We start from the raw sequence: 27344 nt of genomic DNA, 5'->3' as shown, positions 1-27344 counted from the left end.
TGGTTAGCATATAAAGTGCTTAGCAAATAATTGCCTCTTGACAAAGTCATACTGAAATTAATTGAGGTTTTATTTATTTATTTATTTATTATTATTATTATTATTATTATTATTATTTGAGATGGAGTCTCGCTCTGCCGCCCAGGCTAGAGTGCAGTGGCGCGATCTCGACTCACTGCCAGCTCCACCTCCCGGGTTCACACTATTCTCCTGCCTCAGCCTCCCGAGTAGCTGGGACTACAGGCACCCGCCACCATGCCTGGCTAATTTTTTTGTATTTTCATTAGAGACGGGATTTCACCATGTTAGCCAGGATGGTCTCAATCTCCTGACCTCATGATCCACCCACCTCGGCCTCCCAAAGTGCTGGGATTAAAGGCGTGAGCCACTGCGCCTAGCCAGTTTTATTTTTTATTATTACTATGTTTTGAGTCAGAGTCTTGCTCTGTTGCCCAGGCTGGAGTGCAATGGCGTGATCTTTGGCTCACTACAACCTCCGCCTCCTGGGTTCAAAGCGATTATCCTGCCTCAGCCTCTCGAGTAACTGGGATTACAGGTGCCTGCCACCACGCCTGGCTAATTTTTGTATTTTTAGTAGAGACAGGGTTTCACCATATTGGACAGGCTATTCTCTTGGCCAGGCTGGTCTCAAACTCCTGACCTCATGATCCGCCCACCTTGGCCTCCCAAAGTGCTGAGATTACAGGTATGAGCCATGGCCGAGGTTTTTTATTTATTTATTTATTCATTCATTCATTCTGAGACAGAGTCTCGTTCTGTCGCCCAGGCTGGAGTGCAGTGGTGTGATCTCGGCTCACTGCAACCTCTGCCTCGCCGGTTCAAGAGATTCTCCTGCCTCAGCCTCCCGAGTAGCTGGGATTACTGGCACGCACCACCACACCCGGTTAATTTTTTTGTATTTTTAGTAGAGACAAGGTTTCACCATGTTGAAACTCCTGAACTCAAGTGATCCTCCTGCCTCGGTAACTGAGGTTTTAGATTTTCCCATTAGGACCTCTGGTGTCTCCTGCACCTTTTCCTCAATTAAAAGTCAACAGTCAGGCCAGGTGCAATGGCTTATGCCTGTAATCCCAGCACTTTCGGAGGCTGAGGCAGGTGGATCACTTGAGCTCAAGAGCTCAAGAGTTCAAGACCAGCCTGGCCAGCATGGTGAAACCCCATCTCTACCAAAAATACAAAAATTAGCCAGGCATCATGGTGCACGTCGGGTCCCAGCTACTACTTGGGAGGCTGAGGCAGGAGGATCACTTGAACCCAGGGAGGTGGAGGTTGCAGTGCCACTGCACTCCAGCCTAGGCGACAGAGAGAGACTTGGTCTCAAAAAAACAAAAACAAAACCAAAAAAAGTCTATAACTGTCTGGTTTCAAAAGTACCAGCACAAAATTGCCTTTGTGCTCTTTTGAAATAAAATGTGTGTGTGCATGTGCATGTGTGTGAGTGTGGTTGTGTATGTGTGGATTCTTCACCTCTAGAAAACCCTAAAAAAGCTCACTAAACTAATTTTTTCACACTTTCTAAAAACTTGCTTTTTTTTGGTAACAGCTTTATTGAGATATGCTTATCTACTGTAAAAGTCAACCTTTTTTTTTTTTTTTTTTTTGAGATGGAGTCTCGCTCTGTCTCCAAGCTGGAGTGGAGTGGCGCAATCTCGGCTCACTGCAACCTCCACCTCCCGGGTTCAAACAATTCTCCAGCCTCAGCCTCCCGAGTAGCTGGGTCTACAGGCGTGTGCCACCACACCCAGCTAATTTTTGTATTTTTCGTAGAGACAAGGTTTTGCCATGTTGGCCAGGATGGTCTGGATCTTTTGACCTCGTGATCTGCCCGCCTCGTACTCCGAAAGTGCTAGGATTACAGGCATGAGCCACCATGCCCAGTCAAAGTCAACCTTTTTAAAATGAACATTTCAGTGGTTTTTAGTATATTTACAAAGTTGTTTATCCATCACTATTGTCTAATTCCAGAACATTTTTATTGCCCCCCAAAGATAGCCCAGGAACATAGCAGTCACATTTTCACCAAAATGTCTTGAATTTGATGAAACTTATGCTGATAAATTTTATTTATTTATTTATTTATTTATTTATTTATATGTTTTGAGGCAGGCTGTTCGTCTGTCACCCAAGCTGGAGATCATATCTCACTGCAGCTTGGAACTCCTGGGCTCAAGCAATCCTCCCCGCTCAGCCTCCTAATGCGCTGGGATTACAGGTGCATCCCACTGCACCTGGTCAAGTTTATATTTTTTATTTGTTATTGAATCATTTTTTGAGACAGGGTCTTGCTCTGTTTCCCAGGCTGGAGTGCGGTGGCGTGATCATGGCTCACTGCAGCCTCAACTTCCCGGGCTCTAGCAATCCTCCTGCCTCGGCCTTCAGAGTATATGGGACCACAGGCATGTGCCCTGCCCGTTTAAAACATTTTTTGGGATCTCACCCTGTTGTCTAGGCTGGTCTCAAATGATCCTCTCAAGTGATCCTCTGACCACCTCAGCCTCCCAAAGTGCTGGGATTATAGGTGTGAGCCACCATGCCCAGCCTCAGGTGAGAATTTAAAGGATAAATCTATTTCTCCCCCATCCCCAGAGCCTACCATGGGAGACTAGGAGGCCCTCTACATGGCCTGAAATGTACAGGTGGATATTATCTCTGAATGAGTTTATCTAGATAGGTGGGGACTGGGGAGCTGCTGATGCAATTGTGACCCCACAGACACAGGACCCTTTAGATTCATACCTGATGTATTTCCAGGATCAAACATGAAAGATATCCCACAAGTAGCCAACCCTGTCTCTGAATTTTTTTAATTTATTGATATTACTAGAGTTTGAAAGAAATGAATGCCAGGCATGGTGGCTCACACCTGTAATCCCAGCACTTTGGGAGGCCGAGGTGGGTGGATCACTTGAGGTCAGGAGTTCGAGACCAGCCTGGCCAACATGGTGAAACCCTGTCTCCACTAAAAATACAAAAATTAGCTAAGCATGATGGTGGGTGCCTATAATCCCAGCTACTTGGGAGGCTGAGGCAGGAGAATCACTTGAACCCGGGAGGTGGAGGTTGCAGTGAGTGGAGATTATGCCACTGCACTCCAGCCTGGGCGACAGAGCCAGACTCCATCTCAAAAAAAAAAAAATGGATGTGGTCCAGTGTCCCTGACCTAGGGGTATCCCTTCTGCAGTCATCGATTCCAATGTTCAGCCACTTTGGCTTCCCAAAACCCATTCTTTCTAATCACCTGCACTCACCTGCTGCCCCTGTTCCCTCTGGTCCTGTCTTTCCCAGGGGGACAGGGAGGCTGGTTTCCGCCCTCTGTGATGTAGCTACTCATGCTAGATCTGTATCATTGTAAGGATAATAGCCCCTTACATTTAGATAACACTTTTCCACTTCACAAAGCACTTTAACAACAACTAACCTCATTTACGCTGAGCCACAGCCCAGTGATGGAGGCAGCCTGCTTATTATTCTTATGTACATTTTACAGATGAAGCTGAGGGTCAAAGAGGTTGAGTGACTTCCCTGAGGTCCTATAGCCAGGACCTGGTGGAGCTGGGACTAGAACCCAAGCTCCTGGTTGGTGGTCCTCTGCACTTTCTCCTGCACCTGTTGGCTTCCTGCACTCCTGAAGAATGTGGGGTGTCCATCTCCTGAGCTCCTGAAATATAAGGCAGAATGTGTTGAGAAAGTGATCATAATAACAGATAGCATGTTTAAGTGTCCAGGTTGTGTCAGGTGCTGTGCTAGGTGTCTTTTAGAGATCTTACCTCTAATACCACTGCCATACATAGTAGGCATTATTATACCTATCTATTTTACAAATGAGGAAGCAGCCTCAGAGTAGCTAGCTTGTCCAAAGTGATCTGCTGTATCTCTAGAAATTTCTCTGGCCTCTCACAGTTGTTTGGAACATGTCACTGTGCCTAGGCTTTGACATCAGGCATACCTTGGTTTAAATGCTAGCTCTAACTACCAGCTTGCTGTATGACCGTGAGCTCTGAGCCTGTTGTCCAAAAAATAGGAGGAAAAACTCCTCATTCACAGAGCGCTCTACTGAGGATTAACTGTCAGGCCTAGCCGAGGCTTGGCTGACGGGAAAGGCGATTAAGCACCAAGCTGGATTCAGGAAGGTGCCAGGGCCATTAGGGCTGGAGAGGAGCAGCAGGCTAGCAGTGTGTCTGTCTGCCCAGTATGCTGGAGGGGTCCATGCTTGAGTTTTAGTATTTCCCTCATTTGGAGGTCTTGTCAGGTGATGCCTTTTGTCTGTAGCTGTAGACTTCAGAAAATGAGGTACAGCTTGCTCAGTGTTACATAGGCCTAATAAAGTCATCTATTGAAACCGGTATTATTTTCTGCCTACTTATTACAATTCAACACCTGTCATTCATATCTTTCTTCCTCTTCATCCTGATATTTAGTAGAAGATTCTTCATGGGTACAACTCCTATAACCCCTGGACTGCAGGTGAAAGCAACCATCGAAGTGGGCAGGATGCTTAATGCCACACCACACCTGGTGGGATGTGCTGGTTTTCATAGCTTGAGCTCAACCAGAGAGAGCACTTTTGAGATGGAAATGCACGGTCATCCAAACAGTGAATGGTGTGCCCTGCCTTGTGCCAGCCACAGCCCAAGGCAAAGAACATTGCGTACAGAGCCTGGGAGCCAAGTGCTCACCAAGTTGAGGCAAGAGGTAAGAGGCTCCCCTGGGCAAAGGGGAGCCCAGATTTTTCTTGGGTGAGCCCAGATTTTTACGATGACTGGGTGGGCACTGTTGGATTCAGGGTGGAAGATGCTGACTTGACTCTTGGGCATCTGATTCTCCATGCAGGCTTTAGACAAGCTACTTGGCTTCCATTTATCCATGAATGAATTCACTCAGAAGTATTTGCCCAGCTCCTGGAATGGTCCTGGCTTTGGGCTCAGGGATGAACAAGGGTAGACCTCATGGAGCTCCCATCTAGCCATGGGATCCACCTGCCTTGGTGACAACTCCTTGCATCCATATCTTCTGGCTGGATTTGGATGGGTAATTCATCCATCCACACTGAACTGGACTCAGAAGCTGTGGGGTAGCAATAACGAACAATGTAGATTGGATTGCATCATCACTCTTTCTTCCATGGCTCCCCATAACTCTTGGGATCTTGAATAAGGCCCTGCATGGTCTGTCCTCCTCTCCCACCCTCTCTCTCACACTTTCTGTGCTCCTATTCCTCAAACAGGCCATGCTTCCTCCCATTCTAGGGTCTTTGCACATGCTATTCCCTTTACCTGGTTGTTCTCTGTGGTGAACAGACTTTAAGGTTGCCCTCATGATCCCCACCTCCTGGTGCTCACACCCTTAAGTGTGGGTGGGGCCTGTGATTCCAATATGGCAAAGGCGATGGGATGTCACTCCTGTGCTTATATTAAGTTATATAAGACTCCATCTTGCTAGTAGACTCACTCTAGATTCTTCTGTCATGCACACTAGCTTTAAATAAACATGAGTCCTACAGCCACAGGAAATAAACTCTGCTAAGAACCAAGAGAACCTGGAAGCAGACTCCACGTGAGAACTCATCCCTGGCTCACATCTTAACTGAAGCATTGCAAGGGACCCACTTCTGCAGAAACTGCAATATAATAATTGTGTTGTTTTGGGCTGGGTGCAGTGGCTCACACCTGTAATCCCAGCACTTTGGGAGGCCGAGGTGGGTGGATCAACTGAGGTCAGGAGTTTGAGGCCAGCCTGGCCAACATGGTGAAACCTTGTCTCTACTAAAAAAATACAAAAAAATTAGCCTGGTGTGGTGGTGTGTGCCTGTAATCCCAGCTACTCAGGAGGTTGAGGCAGGAAAATCACTTGAACCTGGGAGGCGGAGGTTGCAGTGAGCCGAGATTGTGCCATTGCACTCCAGCCTGGGCAACAAGAGTGAAACTCCATCTCAAAATAATAATAATAATAATAATAGTAATTGTGTTGTTTTCACTGGGTACTGTGGCTCAAACCTATAATCCCAGCACTTTGGGAGGCCGAGGCAGGTGGATCACCTGAGGTCAGGAGTTCAAGACCAGCCTGGCCAACATGACGAAACTCCATTCATACTAAAAATATAAAAATTTTTTAAAAATTAAAAATATATATATGAATTAGCTGGGTGTAGTGGTGGGCGCCTGAATCCCAGCTACTCAGGAGACTGAGACAGGAGAATTGCTTGAACCTGGGAGGCGGAGGTTGCAGTGAGCCAAGATCACGCCACTGCACTCCAACCTGGGTGACAGACAAGACTCCTTCTCAAAATAATAATAATAATAATTGTGTTATTTTAAACCACTGAGTTTGTTGTTTGAAAAAAAAAGTTGAGCAAATTCATTATTATTTCTTATATGCAGCACAGGAAACTAAACTATTCTCTAATATTCACCTAGTTGACTCCTATGCACCTCTTATAATCCCCTTCCCAGTCAGATTCATTTTGTCAGGGAAGCCTTCCTTACCCTCTCTGCCAAGGCCCAATCTCCTTGTCATAGGCTTTCATGTCCCTGTGTGCCTCTCCTCCACATGACCTGTCCAGTTATAATTGTGTGAGGATTCAATTAATATCTGCCCCTCCACTAAAATTGTATGTTCTATGAAAGCAGCCTGTCATGTTCTCCACTTTTTCTCAGGGACTAGCACAGTGTCTGGCACATGTAAGGTGCTCAATAAATATCTTTTGAATAAATAAATGATTTGTAGGACATTCAGAGTGAGGAGAAGTGGAGTGATAGGCAGGGGCTGGATTGCTCAGTGGTTAGAGGCTAAAATGGCACAGGGAAAAGTTTAATGATGTAGTCCTAAAAACTCACTGTTTTTTTTTTGTTTTTTTGTTTTTTTTTTTTTAGACAGAGTCTCCCTTTGCCACCAGGCTGGAGTACAGTGGTGCGATCTCAGCTCACTGCAACCTCTGCTTTCTAGGTTCAAGCAATTCTCCAGCCTCAGCCTCCTGAGTAGTTGGGGATTACAGGCACCTGGCACCATACCTGGCTAATTTTTGTATTTTTAGTAGAGACAGGGTTTCACTATGTTGGCCAGGCTGATCTCGAACTCCTGACCTTAAGTGACCTGCCCACCTTGACCTCCCAAAGTGCTGGGATTACAAGCATGAGCCACTGCGCCCAGCCAAAACTCACTTTTATTGTGACATATCTGGACAACTGGAGCTAAAGCGTGTTTGGGAACATCCTTGATGGGAATATGTTTCCATAAAACAGTCACACTGAGCCACCCCCAGGGCTTGGCTTCTCTTGGAAATTCCAGGGTCCTTCCTCCATCTAGATGTTCCTTCTAGAAGAACATCTTGTATTCTGATCCCCAGGTAACTTTCTTAACCATATCCTCCCTATGAGTTCTACCTTCATGGTCAGAGAAGGGAAATGCAGGGGGAGAAGAGAGGGGTGCAATGAGGAGGAGGGAGCTACAGCTTGGCAGTTTTAATAAAGCCCACAAAATGCCAAATAGCTGATAGATAGAAATGTGAGTCCATGGGGTGCTATGGAAGGAATTCCCCTCAAAATTATTATGTTGAAGCCCTAACCTTCCAAGTGACTGTCTTTGGAAATGGGGCCCATAAAAAGTTAATTATGGTTAAATGAGGCCATAAGGGTAGAACCCTAATCCAATAGGGCTGGTGCCCTTTTAAGAACAGGAAGGGAGGCCAGGCATGGTGGCTCACACCTGTAATCCCAGCACTTTGGGAGGCCGAGGCAGGCAGATCACGAGGTCAGGAGATTGAGACCATCCTGGCCAGCATGTTGAAACCCCATCTCTACTAAAAATACAAAAATTAGCTGGGCATGGTGGCGTGTGCCTGTAATCCCAGCTACTCAGGAGGCTGGAGCAGGACAATCGCTTAAACCAGGGAGTCGGAGTTTGCAGTGAGCCGAGATCATGCCACTGCACTCCAGCCTGGCAACAGAGTGAGACTCTGTCTCAAAAAAAAAAAAAAAAAAAAAAAAAAAAAAAAAAAAAAGAACAGGGAGAGAACCTGGAGCAAGCATGATGTGAGGACACAGAAAGAAGGTGGCCATCTACAAACCAGGAAGACAGCCCTCACTGGAACCATCAGCCAGCACCTTGGTCTTGGACTTCTCAACCTCTAGAACTGTGAGAAAGTACATTTCTATTGCTTAAGCTACCCAGTCTATGGTATTTTGTTATGGTGGCCTGAGCTAAGATAGAGGGTTATCCAAAAGGCTCCATTTTGTGCTATAAAAATAAGGTTGAGAGGCTTCAGCATTCTTAGTCTTGTATTCTCCACTGTCTTCAACTGATAGGTAGATAGAGACAGGGCCTCCCTCTATTGCCCAGACTGGAGTGCAGCTGTGTGATCTGGGCTCACTGCAGCATAGACTTCCTGGGCTTAAGCAATTCTCCTGCCTCAGCCTCCCACATAGCTGGGATTACAGGTCCATGCTACCACATCTGGCTAATTTTTTTTTTTTTTTTTTTTGAGACAGAGTCTTGCTCTGTCACCAGGCTGGAGTGCAGTGGTGCAATTTCAGCTCACTGCAGTCTCCAACTCCCGGGTTCAAGTGAGTCTCCTGCCTCAGCCTCCCGAGTAGCTGGGATTACAGGCACACACCACCACACCCAGCTAATTTTTTTTTGTATTTTTAGTAGAGACGAGGCTTCACCACATTGGCCAGGATGGTCTCGATCTCCTGATCTTGTGATCTGCCCGCCTCAGCCTCCCAAAGTGCTGGGATTACAGGCGTGAGCCACCATGCCTGGCCACATCTGGCTAATTTTTTAAAAAAATTTTGGCTGGGCATGGTGAGTCACCTGTAATCCCAGCACTTTGGGATGCCAAGGCGAGAGGATCACCTGAGGTCAGGAATTGGAGACTAGCCTGGCCAACATGGTGAAGCCCCGTCTCTACTAAAAACTACAAAAATTAGCCAGGCATGGTAGCAGGTGCCTATAATCCCAGCTACTTGGGAGGCTGAGGCAGGAGAATCACTTGAACCTAGGAGGCAGAGGTTGCAGTGAGCCAAGATCACACCATTGCACTCCAGCCTGGGTGACAGAGTGAAACTCCATCTCAAAAAAAAAAAAAAAAAGAATTTTTTTTTATATATATATAGAGAGAGATATGAGGTCTCACTATACTGCCAAGGCTGTGCAGCGAACTCCTGGGCACAAACTGTTATAAAAGTCCTGTTAATAAATAAATCCTCCTGTTTCCCATATCTGTCTCTCTGGTCCTCTGTTTCCCACAACAAAATGATCCTCCTGTCTTGGCCCCTCAAAGTGCTGGGATTACAGGCATAAGCCACCACGCCCTGCCCTTTTTGGTCTTTATCTCGTCTGCTGCTCTAGTGCCCCTCACAGAAATGTTGATGTTCCCCAGGTTTTGCCCTTGGTCTTCTTCTTTTCTCACTCCACACCTCCCTCAGGTGAGCCTACCCACTCCTGTTGCTTCAGCTTCTTCCAATGGTTCCCAAATCTGTAGCTTCAGCCTAGATTCCTTGCTAAGCCCCCAGCTCAGATATCTAACTTCCTCTGGGTGTCCCTCTAAGTGGATGTCTCCTAAATAAAGCCTGCTGTCTCCCCGTGCCAGTTCCCCCCTCCCCTGCATGCCCTCTCTTGGTACATGACATCACGATCCTTCTGATCATTCCAGCCAAAAACTAAAGGTCAACCTCAATTCCTCTTTTTCCTTACTCCTCATATCTAATCAGTTACAATGACTTGTCTTTTCTTTCTCTTAAATATTTACGTGCCTCTCTCTGTTTCTGTCTTTTCTGCCTCTTAGTCCCATAGGGAGAACCTGAAAGACTGTGACGTATCTGTTGGCTCTGTATGGCTTTAAAAAAAACAAAAACAAACACAAACAAACAAACAAAAACAGGCAAAAGGGAAAGGAGCAATGGATGCACAGGGGAAATGTTCTTTTGCTATTTTTTTTTTTTTTTGTATTTTTAGTAGAGATGGGGTTTTGCCATGTTGGCCAGGCTGGTTTCGAACTCCTGACCTCAAGTGATCCGCCCATCTCAGCCTGCCAAAATCCTGGGATTACAAGCGTGAGCCACCACATGTTTCTTTAGTCTATTCCATTTATAAGAAATGTTGGTATTGGGAGGCGGAGCTTGCAGTGAGCCGAGATCAGGGGCCACTGCACTCCAGCCTGGGCGACAGAGTGAGACTCTGTCTCAGAAAAAAAAAAAAAAAAAGAAAAGAAATGTTGGTATTAGCCACTGTGATTGGCACCAGCTGACATGGTTCCCAGTGGTTTCAACCTCCTGGTATTCTTGCCCTGTGTAATTCAGTCCCCTTGAGTGTGGGCTGGACCTAGTGACTTGCTTCTATTGAATAGGACAAGAGTATTTAACCGCCCGATAGGTTCACCTTGCCTGCTGCCTAGACACAGCCGCTTTATCAAGACAGGGGAATTGCAATGGAGATAGAGTAATTCACACAGAGCCAGCTGTGCAGGAGACCAGAGTTTAATTATTACTCAAATCAGTCTCCCTGAACATTCGGAGATCAGAGTCTTTAAAGATAATTTGGCAGGTAGGCGCTTGGGAAGTGGGGAGTGCTGATTGGTTAGAATGGAGATGAAGTCATAGGGTGTTAAAGTGAGGTTTTCTTGCCATCTTCTGTTCCTGGGTGCAATGGCAGAACTGGTTGAGCCAGACTACCTGTCTGGGTGGTGTCAGCTGATCCATCGAGTGCAGGGTCTGGAAAATATCTCAAGCACTGATCTTAGGTTTTACAATAGTGATGTTACCCCCAGGAGCAATTTGGGGAGGTTCAGACTCTTGGAGCCAAAGGTTGCATGACCCCTACACTGTAATTTCTTTTTTTTTTCCCAGATATTTTATCTTTTTATTAAAATCTCTTACTAAAGCCTTCTTACACTGTCTTGATGCTTCTTGAGTTCGGAGATTTGTTCTCCTTTAATTTCCATTTTCTTGACTAAACACTCTAGTTCACATTCTATCTCGTCACAGACTGAATGGCTTTCAGTTTCCTTCATTTGTTTGAGTAGTTCTTAGTGCTCCATGCTCATTTGGTCCAGCTCATCTTGCATTGCCATCAAAAGTTCAGATAAATTGTCACAAATGGAAATGGACTTTTCTGAGTCAGGAGTAATAGCTTTACACCAGGCAGTTGTTCTAGAAGGCTTGGGGAGACATCTAGTCTCAGTCACGTTAAAAGGTTTCTGAAGGATATGTGGGTCACGATGTTGCCTCATCTTTTCAGCCACAAAAGGCAGTGCTCCAAACTTTGAACAAATTTGCCAAGGTGGTCCTCTCTTTATACATTTAGTTTTCTTTGAAGATTTCTTCTTTTCCTTGGAGTGCTTTAAATTTGAAACTGAAGACATAATTTTACTGATTTCAAGTCCAGTTTGAAGCTCAGAAGCTTTGTCTTGAAATAGCTTACGCTGATGTTCTTCTTCCTTAAGTTTTTCTTCTAAATGTTTAATCTTGTCCTCAGCAGTTTTCTGAGTTGTTGTAAGTCTAAAACACTCTTTTTCTAAGACATCAAGCTTGTCAAGTTTTGCATACAGCTTCATCTGATCTTGTTCTTTTTCCCTCTGAAGCTGGGCCTGTTGTTCTAGGATCATGTTCTTTTCTCGCTCTACATTGAGAACCATTCTCTTTGTATATTCTAGTTGCTTCTCTAGAAGAGTGCAACGAGACTGGGCTGAGCTTAACTGTATACTTACATCTTTTTTCTGCTTTATCAGCTCCTGATGTGCTAGATTTCTCTCATTTGTTTCATTCTCTAAGGCCTTCTTATACTGTGCTGCTTCTCTGGAAAGAATGTTCAGGTCATCTTCAGCTTGTGTTCTCTCCAGCTCTAAACAATGAATTTTTTCCTGAAGAGTTTTTAAGGCTAAAATAAGAGCTTGGCTATTTGGGCTATGAAGTATCTTAGGAGAGGTAACTTCTAAGTTCGCAGGATGGCAATTCTGAGATGGTTCATTCTGGGTGAATGAGGGAACAAATACTCTTTCTGGAGGTTTATGATAGCTTCCTACTATACTATGCATTAATTCAGAATCCATTATCAAGCAGACGCTCTCAGTCAGCCCCTGCCACCGCTAACCGTTGGTTCGCGGGCACCCCCCTAAATTGTAATTTCTAATCTTGTAGCTAATTTGTTAGTCCTGCAAAGGCAGACTGGTCCCTGGCAAGAAAGGAGTCTTTTTTTTTTTTTTTTTTTTTTTGTAGACAGAGTCTCACTCTGTCACCCAGGCTGGAGTGCAGTGGCATGATCCCGGCTCACCGCAACCTCCGCCTCCTGGGTTCAAGCAATTCTCCTGCCTTAGCCTCCTGAGTAGCTGGGATTACAGGTGTGCACCACCACGCCCGGCTAATTTTTGTATTTTCAGTAGAGACGGGGTTTCACCATGTCGGTCAGGCTGGTCTCGAACTACTGATCTCGTGATCTGCCTGCCTCGGGCTCCCAAAGTGCTGGGATTACAGGCGTGAGCCACCGTGCCCGGCCACAAGAAGGGAGTCTTTTCGGGAAAGGGCTATTATCAATTTTGTTTCGGAGTAAAATCACGAACTGAATTCCTTCCCAAAGTTAGTTCAGCCTACGCCCAGGCATGAACAAGGACAGCTTAAAGATTAGAAGCAAGATAGAGTCGGTTAGGTGTGATTTCTTTCACTGTCATAATTTCCTCAGTTATAACTTAGCAAAGGCAGTTTCAAGTATAGATGTCACAACCAGGACTGGATTCTAAAAGACTGACTCTGCCTTTTTTTTTTTTTTTTTTTTTGAGACAGAGTCTCACTCTGTCACCCAGGCTGTAGTGCAGTGGCGTGATCTCTACTCACTGTAGCCTCCACCTCCCAGGTTCAAGGGATTCTCCTGCCTCAGCCTCCTGAGTAGCTGGGACTACAGGCGTGTGCCACCACACCTGGCTAATTTTTGTATTTTTAGTAGAGATGGGGTTTCACCAGGTCGGCCAGGCTGGTCTTGAACTCATGACCTCGTGTGATCCGCCCACCTAGGCCTCCCAAAGTGCTAGGATTACAAGTGTGAGCCACTACACCCAACCAAGCCCATATATATATATATATATATATATATATATATGTTTTTTTTTTTTTTTTTTCGAGGTGGAGTCTCCCTCCATTGCCCAGGCTGGAGTGCAGTGGTGTGATTTCTGCTCACTGCAACCTCTGCCTCCTGGGTTCAAGCGATTCTCGTGCCTCAACCTCCCAAGTAGCCGGGACTACAGGTGCACGCCACCAAACCCAGCTAATTTTTGTAATTTTAGTAGAGACAGGATTTCACCATGTTGGCCAGGCTGGTCTCAAACTCCTGACCTGAAGTGATTCACCTGCCTCAGCCTCCCAAAGTGCTGGGATTACAGGCATGAGCCACTGGGCCCAGCCCCAAGGCCCTATTTTTAAGGTTACTTTTTATCTATGGCAAATGATACTATGTTCCACTTGTGGAATGATATAAAATTCCTTTTTAAAAATAAATGTTTTTTTAAGTTAAAAAGTGAGTTGAAGGAAAAATATAAGTAAATAATACTATGGTGTGTTGGTAAAGCATTTCCTTCAGAAAAAAAAAAAAAGTCATGATTTGTAGTGTGTGCTGATTTCTATGGTGTAAGTTCTTCCACCATGCCTATTTCTAGTAATCCAGGTGATGGCACTGTACCCAGAGCTGGGAAAAAATGGGCAGAAGGAGCAAGCTCCAAGTCTGCACAAGTGACTCCAGCTCACCACTGGGTGGGGCTCAGATATAGCAAAAATCAGGAAGGTGGTATGGCAACAACTGACGCTTGAGAAATGCCTCTTGAGTCACCTTTGATTAGAATCGTATTTTCCATAGCAGAGCACAACTGCCTTGAGTTCTTGCTAATTTGACTACTTCTTGCTAATTTTCGTAAACCTGCAGTACCTGGCAGGGTAAGAGGGGTGGGCACCTCTCAACAGGCTGAACCTTCTGGAAGAGGTACTGGGGGAACTACTCTTCTGCCTTAGGATGGCAGTGACTTGGAGTTACCTCTAGTTCCTGGCTGTCGGTAGCTCAGCTCCAGGGAGAGGTGCGGCCCCAGGTGGAGGACAGAGTGAGAAACAGGATGATGTGTCGGGGCAGGGTCTGACTCACACCTGTGGAAGGAAGGACCTTCTCGGTTCGTTTTTATTTAAATGTTCCTTCCTCCCTTCCTCCCTCCCTCCCTCCCTTCCTTTTTTTTTTTTTTTTTTTGGGGACGGAGTTTTGCTCTTGTCACCCAGGCTGGAGTGCAATGGCCCAATTTTGGCTCACTGCAGCCTTTGCCTCCCGGGTTCAAGCAATTCCCCTGCCTCAGCCTCCCAAGTAGCTGGAATTACAGGTGCCTGCCACCGCGCCCGGCTAATTTTTGTATTTTTAGTAGAGACAGGGTTTCACCATATTGGCCAGGCTGGTCTCAAACTCCTGACCTCAGGTGATCTGCCCACCTCGGCCTCCCAAAGTGCTGGGATTACAGGCGTCAGCCACTGTGCCCGGCCTCTTCTCTTTTCTTTTCTTTTCTTTTCTTTTCTGTCTTTCTCTCTCTCTCTCCTTCCCTTCCTCCCTCCCTTACCTCTCTACTTTCTTGCTTTTTTTTTTTTTTTTTTTGAGATGGAGTTTCACTCTTGTTGCCCAGGCTGGAGTGCAATGGCACAGTCTCGGCTTACTGCAACCTCTGCCTCCTGGGTTAAAGCAATTCTCCTGCCTCAGCCTCCCTAGTAGCTGGGATTACAGGCACCCACCACCACACCCAGCTAATTTTTTCTATTTTTAGTAGAGATGGGGTTTCACTATGTTGGCCAGGCTGGCCTTGAACTCCTGACCTCAGGTGTTCCACCCGCCTCAGCCTCCCAAAGTGCTGGGATTACAGGCATGAGCCACCGCACCTGGCAAAGATGATTTTCTTTCAAGAAGTGTGAGATAAGGGCCAATATGAGGAGAATAGAATGGAAAAGGAGAAATTTACAGTTTTATATTGTATTACAGCTACTGCAACAAAGTGCCGCAGGCCAGGTATCTTACCAACAGAAATTCATTGTCTCACAGTTCTGGAGTCTAGAAATCTGAAATCAAGGTATTCGTTGGGTCCTTCTGAGAGCTGTGAGGGAAGGACCTGTACCAAGCCTTTCTCTTTAGCTTGTAGATGGCCATCTTCTCCCAGTGTCTCTTCACATGATCTTCCCTCTATGCATGTCTGCCTGTCTACCAATAACCACTTCTTATAAGGACACCAATCATATTGGATTAGGACCCACCCTAATGACTTCAATTTTAACTTGATTCCTTCTGTAAAGACGCTACCTCCAAGTGAGGCCACATTCTGAGGTACTAGGGGTTAGGACTACAACATATCTTTTTTTTTTTCTGGTGGATGTGGGGTGGGCGCACAAATTAACTAATTAGCAGGCCTAGAAGTTCTTTGATGAGAAGTAGACTCTATCAGGGTCTTCAGTCACAGGAGTTGAGATGCTGACTCTGTCAATGGGATACTGTCCCTTTTACAAGTGCCCTGAGAATTTATCCTGCCCAGTGGGGGTCAGACCCTTCAGGGAATAACCACAGAACAATTTTGTCTTAGCACAAGACTCTTCCTATCTGCAAGTAATTTGCAAGGATTTCAAACATCTCCGGAGGCTGTAGCCAAGCCCTGGCAAACATCCGAGTCTGTTCAGGGTGTACAGCTTCTGACTCAGGTGGCCAGGCTTGGACCACCTTGCTAAGGGGTCCAGGCCTCTAAAGATGCTCTGGATCTCCTCGGAGGAGACTATTTGTTTGGGGCCAGTTGAGCTTCTTCACCGAGAAGCCTCAGGGCCTTCCCTTGCACAGCCCTACCTCGCTGATTCCCTCACTGGCTGTTCTGAAACTGAAAATGGCCACGAACGGTGTGAGGCTTGTAGACCCTAACAGTGAGGGATAATATTTTGCCAATTGACTGCATTGAATGGAGTCAGTAAACATAGTGACTGAAAATCTTACCACTGTTGATAAGTATTTTCTGAGTACCCAATAGGTATTGTGAGAATACTTTTTTTTTTTTTGAGACCTGGTCTTCCTCCTGGGCTCTAGGGCTCAAGCTATCCTCCCACCTCGGCCTCCTGAGTAGCTGGGACTACAGGCCCAAGCCACCATGCCCGGCTACTTTTTGTATTTTTTGTAGAGATGGGGTTTCACCGTGTTGCCAGGCTGCTCTCGAACTCGTGAGCTCAAGTGATCCTCCCGCCTCAGCCTCCCAAAGTGCTGGGATTACAGGCGTGAGCCACAGAGCCCAGCCCAAGAATACTTATGGAGTCCTGTGACAGATTACAAAATTAGCCCCAACTCTCTGCTCATCCCTGTACTCATATTCTTTGCAATGTGACTTCGCTGCTTCTCCCATCAGGAGATGGAGTCTATTTCTTCACCCTCGAACCTGGGTTGGCCTTGCCATTTGGTTTAGTCGATACAACTGTGGAAGTGGACTAGTGCCGATTTTGAGCCTAGACTTTGAGAGACCTTGCACCATTCCACTCGTGCTCTCGGAGCCCTGCAGCTCCATGTGAACAAATTAGGCTAGCCTGTTAGTAGATGAGAGACATGCGACCTACTTGCCTCAGTTGGCAGCTAGCCACTTCCCAGAAGCAGAGCCTTCTGACTGCCTGGCGATGAACCCGGATGCATGAGGGAGTCCAGCTGAGACCAGAAGAACTGCCCAGCTAAGCCCAGCCTCAAATACTGACCCATAAAATCATGAACTAAATAAGTAGTTATTGTTTTAAGCCACAACTAAGTTTTGGGGTGTTTTATTATGCAGGAAACACTGATGGATACAAGCACTGAACATGCGTCAAGCTCTGGTATTTGCAATCAGGCAGACTCTCGGGAGTAAAGACTTGTGCAGAGATGATAGAATAATGGGTATAATGCACTAAGTGCTCTGGAGAAGCAAAAACAGTAGGAATAGAAGAGGTGGATTTGAGCTAGGGAGGGATCTTGTCTCTGTGGAGTTAGAGGGTCCAGGATGAACTGCCTGGGACAGGGGACTGTCTGAGGGAAAGTATGAATGTTGGAAACCCCAGGCTGGGGCCATCAGCCAGCAGTATATACTGAGCCCTTACCATGGGTACAGAAACACTGTACTGGCTGTCTCAAGTCTGCGTATGGACTAGCAGAGGAGAGAAGACATCCACGTGTAAAAGTTGGGTAGAAGTGTCATGCTGGTTTTCAGTGAAAACAGAAGTAGCTATGCCTGCTTTGTCCACAGTGGCAAGCAGCATCTCGGCTTGGGCAGAATGGGACTCTACCCATTAGTTATTTATATCTGGTACTTGCTATATATCTGGCAGGGATGTGGTGTTGATGGGTTGAGAGAGATCTCCATAGTTTTCCCTGGGAAGGCACAAGGGGTCAGAAAACATGGCTGCTTAAGTATCCACTTGACTGGTAACCCCTTGAGGGCAGGGTCTGTGTCTGATTCATGTCAGTATACCCCAAGACACAAGGCTTTGCATATACTAAGCAATCAGTTTCAAAAGACTTACTTTGGAGATATTTATCATCCTCTTCTCTTTATTCCTACTAACCTATTGTAGTTTTTTCCTAGGGCTGCTATAACAAATGGACATAAACTGGGTGGCAACAGAAATTTATTCACTTACAGCTCTGGAAGCTATTAAGTCCAAAATCAAGGTGTCTGGAGGGTTAGTTCCTTTTTGGAGGCTCTGAAGGAGGAATTATTCCCTGCCCGTTCCTAGCTTCTGGTCCCTGCTGGCAGTGCTTGGCACTCCTGGCCTTGGAAATGCATCAGCTGATCCCTGCCGCCATCACCACAGGTGGTTCTCCCTGTGCGTCTCTTCTGTGTCTCTTCTCTTACAACGACACCAGTCTCAGTGGATTAGGGGCCCGCCCTACTCCAGCATGACCTTAACTCATTACATCTGCAACGGCCCTACTTCCAAATAAGATCACATTCTGATGAACTTTAACATATTGTTGGGGGTGGAGAGGGCATAAGTAACCCTTAACATCCATCGAGGCCCAAGGGAATGTGTGTTCTTTGACTGCCTAGACCCCCTAGAGGCGGAATTAAATATTCTTTTTTTTTTCTTTGAGACAGAGTCTCACTCTGTCCACTCAGGTTGGAGTGCCCATCTCGGCTCACTGCAACCTCCGCCTCCCGGGTTCAAGCGATTCTCCTGCCTCAGCATCCCGAGTAGCTGCGGCTACAGGCGCCTGCCACCACGCCCGGCTAATTTTTGTATTTTTAGTAGAGACGGGGGTTTTGCCATGTTGGCCAGGCTGGTCTCGAACTCCCGACCTCAGGTGATCCGTCTACCTCGGCCTCCCAAAGTGCTGGGATTACAGGCGTGAGTCGCCGCGCCCCGCCCTCAAGTCATATTTTATAGATGAGAACATTAGGATTGGAGACGCAGGGCCGAGACACAGGGCCTTGCATATACTAAAAACCTCAATGGGCACCCGAAGTCATCATAGGAAAATTTCCCTATGCTCCATGTTCACGTGTTTCAAAGTATCCCTGATCTGGCTAATTCAACTCCATTCCCTCGAGAAAACCCAATCTGGAGCCCCGGTCCTAGAGATCCTGGGATGTACTGCGCGTCCCACTCTGTATCTCCGCCCCCTCAGGCGTTCTCCCTCTAGAAGCAGCACACAAAGCGGTTACTCCCTGCGGCCGGGAGCGCGCGGGCTGCCCTTCCGCGCGCCACCCCCGCGCGCGCCGCTCCCCCACTGATTGGCTGAGCGCATCCCGAGCCCAGCCTGCTCCCGCCGCGGCGCCGGTCCTGGCGCCGGGATTGGCGGAGTGGCCGCGCGCGCAGATCCCGCAGCCCCGCGCGCCCCGCCCCGCCGGCTCGGAACTCGCCTGGGGCGCCGCCGGCGGCGGAGGGAGCGTGACTGCGCTGCGCAGGGCGCTAGGAGGCATTGTCGCCGTAAGTGGAGCCAAAAGCGGCCCGGAGCGGGACCACACGCTTCTTGCCCCGCAAAGTAAATGTAGTCCGAGGTCAAGCGTTGCAGGGGCTGGGGGAGAGAGGGCGAGAAGTGTTCCGATTTTTGCAGCGTCCCCTCCCCTCCCCCAGGTCACCCGGTGGAAAAGAGCAGCGGTGCACCAGCGGAGGCTCTGGCGGTGCCAAGGGGCTCGGCATGCGCGGGCTCTTGCTTGCTCACTGCACCTGGACCCCGATGGTTCAGGGGAGTGGGTGCAGAGGTGCCAGGGAATAGGGAGCTCGGAGAACCGCTCCCAGGCGGGCCTCCATTCCTCGCGGGAGGCGCCCTTGCTTGGAGAGGCTGCTGTGCATTTCGTCCCCGAAGCGACACTTTCGGGGTTTGCTTCCGCTCTGGGGAGCTGCAGACGCCTGCTCCAGAGCGTGCCTCTCGGCCTCCGGGCAGCGTGGGAGCCCCGGGGCCTCTGCGATCACTACCATTCTTCCCTCTGCCAGCTTTATTCTCCCAGTCCCCGCCTGCCGGGCCAGCGGACGAGGTGCCATTGGCTGCAGGCACCGGGGGTGAGGCGGATCCTGGCACGCGGGGCTGGGGGACCCTTGCCTGGCTACCGCGCGTAGTGCTGGAGGCTCAGTCCGAGGATGCCTAGATGTTAGCGAGGGAGCACGCGCTGAGCTTCCCGAACCCCATGCCACAAAAACAAGGCGCCAGCAGGTCCCGCTCACGTCCCAGCGGGCTTCTTTCCCTGGGGTGGGGAAGTGGGTCAACTTCGTTCTGATCTGAAGGGGGGTTTGGGACTATTTGGGTCGCTCCTCACCTCCCCACCCGCTCCCCGGCTTGGCATGGTCCAGAGCCCGGGCTGGAGCCAGCGGTAGGGCCAGCTTGCACACATGGCTCCGGAGGCTCCGGTTGCCCATCCGAGCCCCTGCCAGGCTCTAACGTTCCCAACTGACAACACCAGTAACTAAATATAGGAGCAGATGGTGGGGACGGGCTGTCGCAGCGGCTCCTTTGCAGAGGTCTCCGGACTGCAGATAAGGTAGAGTTATTGATGGTAAGGGCTGGAGTCAGGGGGCCAGGTCAGGGTTTAAGCAAAAATCACCCCTCCCCCAGCCAGCCTGAGTCCAGGTGAAACCAGGTTATAGGGACAGGAGGGCTGTATTGCCAGCTCCCCCAAAGCAGGACAACGTTTTTGTCTGGCATTGAATTTATTACATCCAAACTTCCTCTCTACACCTGTTTGATTACCTACTGGTAATGCCTTGGTGTGGGAAACATGTAATGGTTCGCAAAGTCCTTTCCCAAAAGTTACATATCAGTTACTTCCCACAATAATCCGGTGAGGAAGGTGGTATTTCCATTTTACAAATGGGACTGCTCACAACACTGTTAACTTTGCAAAACTATGGATTAGGCTGCCTTCCTCAAAAAACTTCTCTTAGTTCGCTACACAGAAGCAGAGGACAGCCTTGTAAGAGGGCTGCAGTTCCCTTCCTCAGTAATCTGGGAGCCCATTGGCTCCCTGTCTCTCTCTCTCCTGAATCTCTTTGTGCACCTGCTGCTCACCCCTGTCCCTTCCCCCTGGCCATGCCATGTGCCTTCATGCCCCCCTAGGCCTGGCCCTGTAGCCTTACTACTATCAGGCTCATCCTGCCTCCCAGTGGGAAGCTTGTTCTAGCCCATACCCAGTCTCTGCCCCTTTACTCCCACAGTGGGGGCCTTATGGAAGGTGTCCAGGAGACGTTTGCTGGATTTAAACATTTCACCGGACCAGGATGCTCACTCTGAGGAATGGGGTTGAGGGTGTGTGGAGAGGGCCATGCTTTGAGGATGTAGGCAGTGTGAGTATGAGCTTCGACCCTGTGCTGAAGTGTCTCTGGGATTTGGAGTGCTTTCCCTGACATTTTCTAAGGCCTACCCTCTATTGCCTGGGACTGGCTGGGGCCAGTAGTGCCAGCTGGCTGGGGTGCCCCAAGCGGCGATCTGGCCCATGTGGGCTGATGGTGTCTGTTTCTGCCTTTTGGAACACTCTGTGACTCTCCACTACCACCATCCCTGCAGATGGCATTGACCAGGTACCCTGAGGAGCTCAGGCCTGTCAGCTGGACTTCATGAAACAATTCTTCCTTGTGGAGAAAGGGGCAGTTTTAGGTGAAGGGAGGATGGCTTCCTAGCTAGTTAATAAGCGTGGTGATTTTAAGCAGCGGGAACCTTTTGGGGGTCCCGAGCACATTTTTGCTGTACTCAGAGCATCCTCCATCCTCTGGCATAGAAGGAAGGGGCCCTTCTTCCTACTGAATTGCCCTGACACCTAGACTTTACATGTTGTTTCTGTTCCTGTACCTGTGTACACTCTGACCCACACAATAGGACGTCTGAACTTGCCACCAGTGGTGAAATTTTTAATCTGACTAGTTTTCATCAGTGGTCTAAGGCAAGGGTCCTCAACCCCTGGGCTGTGGATGGCATAGGTCCGTGGCTTGTGAGGAACCCGGCTGCACAGCAGGAGGTGAGCACCAGTAAGCATTACCGCCTGAACTCTGCGTCCTGTCAGACCAGCGGCCGCATTAGATTCTCCTAGGAGCCTGAACCCTATTGCGAACTGCGAATGCGATGGATCTAGGTTGTGTGCTCCTTATGGAGAATCTAATGCCTGATGATGTGAGGTGGAATAGTTTCATTCCTCTCCCACTACAGTGGGAAAAATTGTCTTCCAGGAAACCGAAAAGGATGGGGACCGCTGGTCTAAGGCACCACCTCCCCATCTGGTGGTAGCTAGTAGAATTGCAGGCATAGTGCCTGATTGAAAATATTCAGCCCAGGTGATCCCACCAGGCCTACCCCCTACCCTGGGCAGCTTGGTGGCTTCCCTTCCTTTCCCTCTCTGCTGTGAGGCCAGGATTGCTTCAGTGCTGTTCTTCAGAAAGCTCTTCCTCATCAGAATCGCAAGTCGGAGCTGCTTCCTGCATTTCTTTCTCCCTCTTCCTTCTTATCCCTCATACCTAGGAGATGCTCAGTAAATGTTTATGATTATTGATGATGAATTGGAGATGGAGAAAGGAGGGAGCATGGAATGGTGGGAAGAGTCCTAGGCTTGGACTTAGGATACCTGGGTTTTTTGTTTTCATCTAGCTGATTTGCCTCCCCTCTTGGGTCCTCAGCTTTCCCATTCATAAAGTGGTTAGAACAAGTCACCAAGATGCTAGCAACATGGCTATGATTTAGGCTTAGGGGTACGGTCTTCGAGGCAGCATGGTGAAGTTGTTGGGTCCAGTTTGCCACAGTCCTTTCTATTCCCTTCTGCCCTGCACTGGCTCGCCTTATGCAGATTGGCCACCTGGCACTATTAGGCATTTGGTTTTTGACCCTTCTCAATTTAGACAGTGTCTTAGATTTGTTGTAAGAGTCTCTTGACCTGTATTCAGATTGGAAACACAAATGATGTCTGTTGATCTTCACCATTAGGGGATACTAACTAAGCACCTGTGTTCAGTGTGTGGAGAGAAGCACAGTATAGGTCTATTCCCTGGCCCCAAGCTGCCCACAGGTCAATGGGGGAGACAAGTGTTGGTTTGTTGATTTATTTATTTTTGAGACAGAGCTTTGCTCTTGTCACCCAGGCTGGAGTGCAATGGGACGATCTCGGCTCACTGCAACCTCCGCCTCCTGGGTTCAAGCGATTCTCCTGCCTCAGCCTCCTGAGTAGCTGGGATTACAGGCATGTGCGACCATGCCTGGCTAATTTTTTTTTTTTTTTTTTTTTTTGAGCGCGAGGTTCACTCTTTGTTGCCCAGGCTGGAGTGCAATGACACAATCTCGGCTCACTGCAACCTCTGCCTCCTGGGTTCAAGTGATTCTCCTGCCTCAGCTTCCCGAGGCGCCCGCCACCACGCCCAGCTAATTTTTGTATTTTTAGTAGAGATGGAGTTTTACCACGTTGGCCAGGCTGGTCTTGCATTCCTGACCTTAGGTGATCTGCCCACCTCGGCCTTCCAAAGTGCTGGGATTACAGGTGTGAGCCACCATGCCCGACCATTTTTTTTTTTTTTTGTATTTTTAGTAGAGACGGAGTTTTACCATGTTGGTCAGGCTGGTTTCCAACTCCCGACCTCAAGTGATCCACCCGCCTAGGCCTCCTAAAGTGCTGGGATTACAGGCATGAGTCACTGCGCCCGGCTGACAAGTGTATATTTAAAAGCTCATAAATAATCCAGGTGACTTGTGCTAAGTCATTAAGTGCTACTGAAACTCAGAGGAAGGAGAGAACACTGAGGCAATAAGAGGAGATTTCCTGGAGGTGGACAGATAGAAATTCCACTCATTCCTCAAAGATGAGTTCCCTCAGTGTTTTGTTCAGACTCACATGAGTATTAAACTGGGGTTATATGCTGCTGTTACATCCACATATGCACTGCTTTATCCTCTTAACTTTTATTGAGTATTTACGTGTCCTGGGCTCTGAGCTAGACAGGTGTATACATTTTGTGCTCTCAATCCTCATATTAACCTAGCAAGTTGGGTATTACTAGATCTCCTATTCACATGAAGAAGAAACAGGCTCAGAGGAGTTAAGAAACTCTCCCAAGGCCTCTCAGCCAATAAATGGGGGTGTTGAGCATTTGACCTGTCTCCAAAATCAGTGTTTTCCCACTGTTCTGTATGTGTGTGTCTCAAACCTTTAGTGTCAGCCTCTTTAGTGGAAATGCACACACATACTAAACTCACAGTAACTCCCTGAAGCAGATGGGTGGGCTTGGCCAGCCCTGGCTTGGCCTTGCCTGCCCTGCTTGTCCAGTTGACCACGTGGGAACTTTTTCTTGGTGACTGTTAGCTCTTAGCACTGTCCCCATGCCCCTTCTCTCTGCCCTTCGCCTTCTTCTGCCTTTGGCCCTTGGAGTGAGTTCACTGGAGCTTCTTGAGCTGTCTGTGAAGCTGGGACTGGGGTCTGGGGGCAAAGAAGGGGTGCTGACCTTGGACTTGAGCTCATTCCTCTCTCTATGGGGTGCTGCTATTTTTATAAAAAAGTGAGCACTGGCTATGGAGCTGGGCTGACCCTATTCTTGCCGCTTACTCACTTTGACCTTGGCCAGGTCACCTAGCCCCTCTCTGTGCTCATTTCCTTCTCTGTAATAAACAGGGAGTTGAGGGTGTTTGCAAGTCCTTATGTCTTAACACCTTATCATTTTGTTTTCCTCACCTTTCTTTCAGTCTCTTTTCCTCTAGTGATCCAATTTCTCTTCTCTCATTTCCATCTCCACCCCCCGGCCCCTGCCCGCTTTTCTTGCAGATAAACTCAGCATCAGGCTGATAATCAGGTCTGCAGGCTAGTACTGTAACCTCTCCTTCCTGTTGGCACATGGGAAAGGAATTCTTAGAGACCACCCACCGCCAGTCCGTGTGTTCTGATGGGATCACAGGGCTCTGATTTGCCTTCGTGTCCCCACTTCCTGCCATGCACAAGGCAGATATGGGTGGGGTGAACAGGGGAGCTGGGGAAATTGTCCTGGGCAGGGTGTGGACAGGGGACCAGCTTAGAGGCTGTGGGATGGAGGGACAGGTGTCTTTCTCCTGCAGTTGGCTGCGCCCTACCTCCTTCCCAATGCCCTGCCTATAGAGTGAATCACAGGCCAGCACACCCCTGAGTCCTCACACCTCCCTGGCTGCTGGCTCAGACCTGGTCCCCATGTCTGGTGAGGTCACACATGTTGATCCTCCCAGAAAACCAGTAGAACCCAGCTGCCAGACTGGCAGACCAGCTTGTGCAAAGGCCAAGCTGGATGTGGCCTGAGCTCTCGGCCCTGCAAGAGGAGGTGAGTGGCCTGGGGCCCTCCCTGCAGGCTTCCTGACAGCCTGGGTCCTGGGGGAGAAGGATGCTGGAGGGGGATGCCTGGGTGGGCCCCTGGCTGGCAGGCGGGCACTTCATGGCACTGCGTCTTCCCCAGGCTCAGGCCCTTTTGTGAGAAGCAGACCAGCCTGGGGGCTGGCGGCAGGACACCTGTGTCTGCATGCTGAAGAAGATGGGTGAGGCCGTGGCCAGAGTAGCAAGGAAGGTCAACGAGACGGTGGAGAGCGGCTCTGACACTCTGGGTGAGTGAGGGCAGGGCTTTTCCCAACTTCCCTGGAAGCAGTTGTGAGATCAGCTTAGAAATGAAACAGAGATGAAAGACACAAGCGTCAGTGTGCAACCTCATCCTGAGAATAAGTGTTTTGTGGAACTTTCATTGCAACAGTGTGTAATTTGTGTAAGACATTTCTTACTGTGGGTCCTGGTCAAAGAGGTTTGAAAACCACTGAGTGATGGCGCCTGCCTGCTTGTCCTTTGACTGCTGATGACTGAGTGTGTGTGCCCTTGGACCAGGTGAAAATACAGAGCTGGTCCTGGCCAAGTAGCATCTGTGTGCCAGGCCCCGTGCTGGGCGCCTCCTGAATGTTATCTTGTTGAATCTTCACAGGCTCCCTGGGGTGAATGAAGCCAGCTGGGCGTGGTTAGCCTCAGTCATCCCATGAAGAAAGGGGACGGCAAAATGGGTTTCTTTGAGGTTGCCCAGCTAGGAGACCCCTTTACACTCCACTATTTTTCTTGAATTGTGTCTTATATATTTTTTTGCTTTGAATTGGCCAGGGCATTTTATTCCATCAATTACCCCAAGACTCCTAAGCATTTAGGCAAACCATCCCATTTAATCGAATTCAGCAGATACTTATTGACTGTCCACCAAGTGCAAGGGGCAGCAGGGGATACAGTGCAGTTACCTGTGTGTCCTGTGTGTGCGTGCATGTGCCCGAGTGTGTTTGTGTGCATGTGTGCATGTGCATGTATGTCACCCATGGAATGCAGGCACCACTGTAGAGGCCTGGAGCACAGTCCTGCCTTGGGGATGATCTTGCAGATAGGCAGGCAGAATTGGAGTTAGGTACATGGAGAGGAATTTCACAGGCAGGTAGGGGTGTGTGTGTGTGTGTGTCTGTCTGTCTGTCTCACAAAGGAGCGCTTCCTTCCATGGTAGTTACTGCCTTAGCAAAGTCACAGAGACTGGAAAGGCAGTCAGAGGCAGAGAGGTGGTCCAGGAAGTGGAGAGACACTCAGCCTTCAGGATGAGCTTGATCACTGCCTCTTCCAGGAAGCCCTCCGCCTTCCCTCATCCACCCTTTGCTCCCTTTCTCCTCTGTAGCACCCCTTCAGCATCTGTAGAGCACAGGGACCCTGTGGTTGTTTGCTTCCCCCTGCCCTGCCCCAGAGCCCAGCGCAGTGTCAGGCACTTTGTAAACGTGTGGAAGTGTTTGCTGAGCTTAGCTAAGGCGAGAGGCATTTCCTCTATCAGCAGGCTCGCTGAAGATTGTCATTGGTGTTGGAGGGAAGCCTTTGGAAGGAGCCTTAAGCTAGTGAGCTGATGACTGTGAGCCCTCAGTGAAGGAATTCCGGAATCCTGTACTGGTCAGTAATATGGTTGTTTAAGGCTCTCTACCACTGAGACTGCGGTTCAGAGCTAGGCTTTGAGTCACATGGGCCTGGATTTGAATCTCTACTCTGCCACCCACTCACCTGGTACTGTAGCAGATTGCTTAACCTCTCAGAGCCTCAGTTTCTTCATCTATAAAATGGGAATGGTAATTGTGTCTACCTCATCAAGGTAGTTAAGAGTAATTGGAATGTCTGTAAGGTGTTTGGCACATAGGGAGCTCAATAAATGGCAGCTATTATTTTTAATTTTTGCTCATTCCCAAAAGCTGGTGGCGAGACCTAAGCCCTTCCCCTTGCAAATGCACTTTCTACAGGTGTCAGCCAGCCACGTCTGTGCTGGGTGTTCTTCTCACTGCCTTCCAATGGAGGGTTCAGTGCAAATCGACAGATGTCTGTGGTGAGTAACCTACCCCTGCTTCAAAATGTCACAGGGGGCTGGGCATGGTGGCTCATGCCTGTAATCTCAGCACTTTGGGAGGCCGAAGCAGGTGGATCGCTTGGGGCCAGGAGTTCAAGACCAGCCTGGCCAACATACTAAAACATACTAAAAATTCAAAAAATTAGCTGGTGTGGTGGTATACACATGTAATCCCAGCTACTTGGGAGGCTGAGGCAGGAGAATCGCCTGAACCCAGGAGATGGAGGTTGCAGTGAGTCAAGATCTCGCCACTGCACCTCCAGCTTGGGTGATGGAGCAAGGTTCCATCTCAAAAAAAAAAAAAAAAGGCTTCACAGGGGATAGGGACACAGCAGCTCCACTTCATTCAGATGTGGCAAGAGTGGAGAGGCCGCAGGGGAGGGAAAACAATTCTCACCGGGGCGTTGGGGAAGCTGCTTAGGGGATGGGTGCTGTTTGAGAGAGGATGTTTCAGGAGGCAGCGGTGAGGAGACAGGCACTCCAGGCAGTGGCAGGGGTGTGCCTGAGTTGGAG

At 48.5% G+C, this 27344-nt stretch overlaps 1 protein-coding gene and 1 pseudogene across 16 annotated transcripts in view, besides 5 other annotated features; one reads left to right on the top strand and one right to left on the bottom strand.

Moving 5' to 3' along the window:
- On the bottom strand, positions 11324-12124 carry CEP57L1P1 (centrosomal protein 57 like 1 pseudogene 1; annotated as a pseudogene).
- Positions 18361-18460: an enhancer, noted in NCBI's record as "active region_3504". NCBI's record gives its function as "activates an Ori minimal core promoter by ATAC-STARR-seq in GM12878 lymphoblastoid cells {active_cell/tissue: GM12878}" and the evidence as "EXISTENCE:reporter gene assay evidence [ECO:0000049][PMID:35858748]".
- Positions 18591-18960: a silencer, noted in NCBI's record as "silent region_2445". NCBI's record gives its function as "represses an Ori minimal core promoter by ATAC-STARR-seq in GM12878 lymphoblastoid cells {active_cell/tissue: GM12878}" and the evidence as "EXISTENCE:reporter gene assay evidence [ECO:0000049][PMID:35858748]".
- Positions 18865-27344, top strand: part of LRRC20 (leucine rich repeat containing 20) — an 83651-nt gene continuing 75171 nt past the window's right edge. For 3 of the 16 annotated variants that reach the window (NM_018239.4, NM_018205.4, NM_001278212.2), the window contains exons 1-2: positions 18865-18941; positions 24894-25038. In NM_018239.4, the coding sequence (NP_060709.2) occupies positions 24957-25038 (82 nt within the window). In that variant the 5' untranslated portion in view covers positions 18865-18941; positions 24894-24956. Of the gene's footprint in view, positions 18997-19923; positions 20006-24697; positions 24762-24893; positions 25039-27344 lie in introns of those variants that run through there. The other 13 variants (XM_047425418.1, XM_047425421.1, NM_001278211.2 and 10 more) reach the window with 5 other exon arrangements.
- Positions 18991-19190: an enhancer, noted in NCBI's record as "active region_3503". NCBI's record gives its function as "activates an Ori minimal core promoter by ATAC-STARR-seq in GM12878 lymphoblastoid cells {active_cell/tissue: GM12878}" and the evidence as "EXISTENCE:reporter gene assay evidence [ECO:0000049][PMID:35858748]".
- Positions 18991-19654: a biological region, named in NCBI's record as "H3K27ac-H3K4me1 hESC enhancer GRCh37_chr10:72141592-72142211".
- Positions 19035-19654: an enhancer, noted in NCBI's record as "H3K27ac-H3K4me1 hESC enhancer chr10:72141592-72142211 (GRCh37/hg19 assembly coordinates)". NCBI's record gives its function as "activates a minimal SCP1, AML or CMV promoter by ChIP-STARR-seq in primed H9 embryonic stem cells {active_cell/tissue: H9 hESC(primed)}" and the evidence as "EXISTENCE:reporter gene assay evidence [ECO:0000049][PMID:30033119]".

This window comes from Homo sapiens, chromosome 10, assembly GCF_000001405.40.
Source record: "Homo sapiens chromosome 10, GRCh38.p14 Primary Assembly".
Classification (NCBI taxonomy): Eukaryota; Metazoa; Chordata; class Mammalia; order Primates; family Hominidae; genus Homo; species Homo sapiens.
The sequence above is the reverse complement of the archived record's forward strand: the minus strand, read 5'-3'. Positions and strand labels throughout refer to the sequence as shown.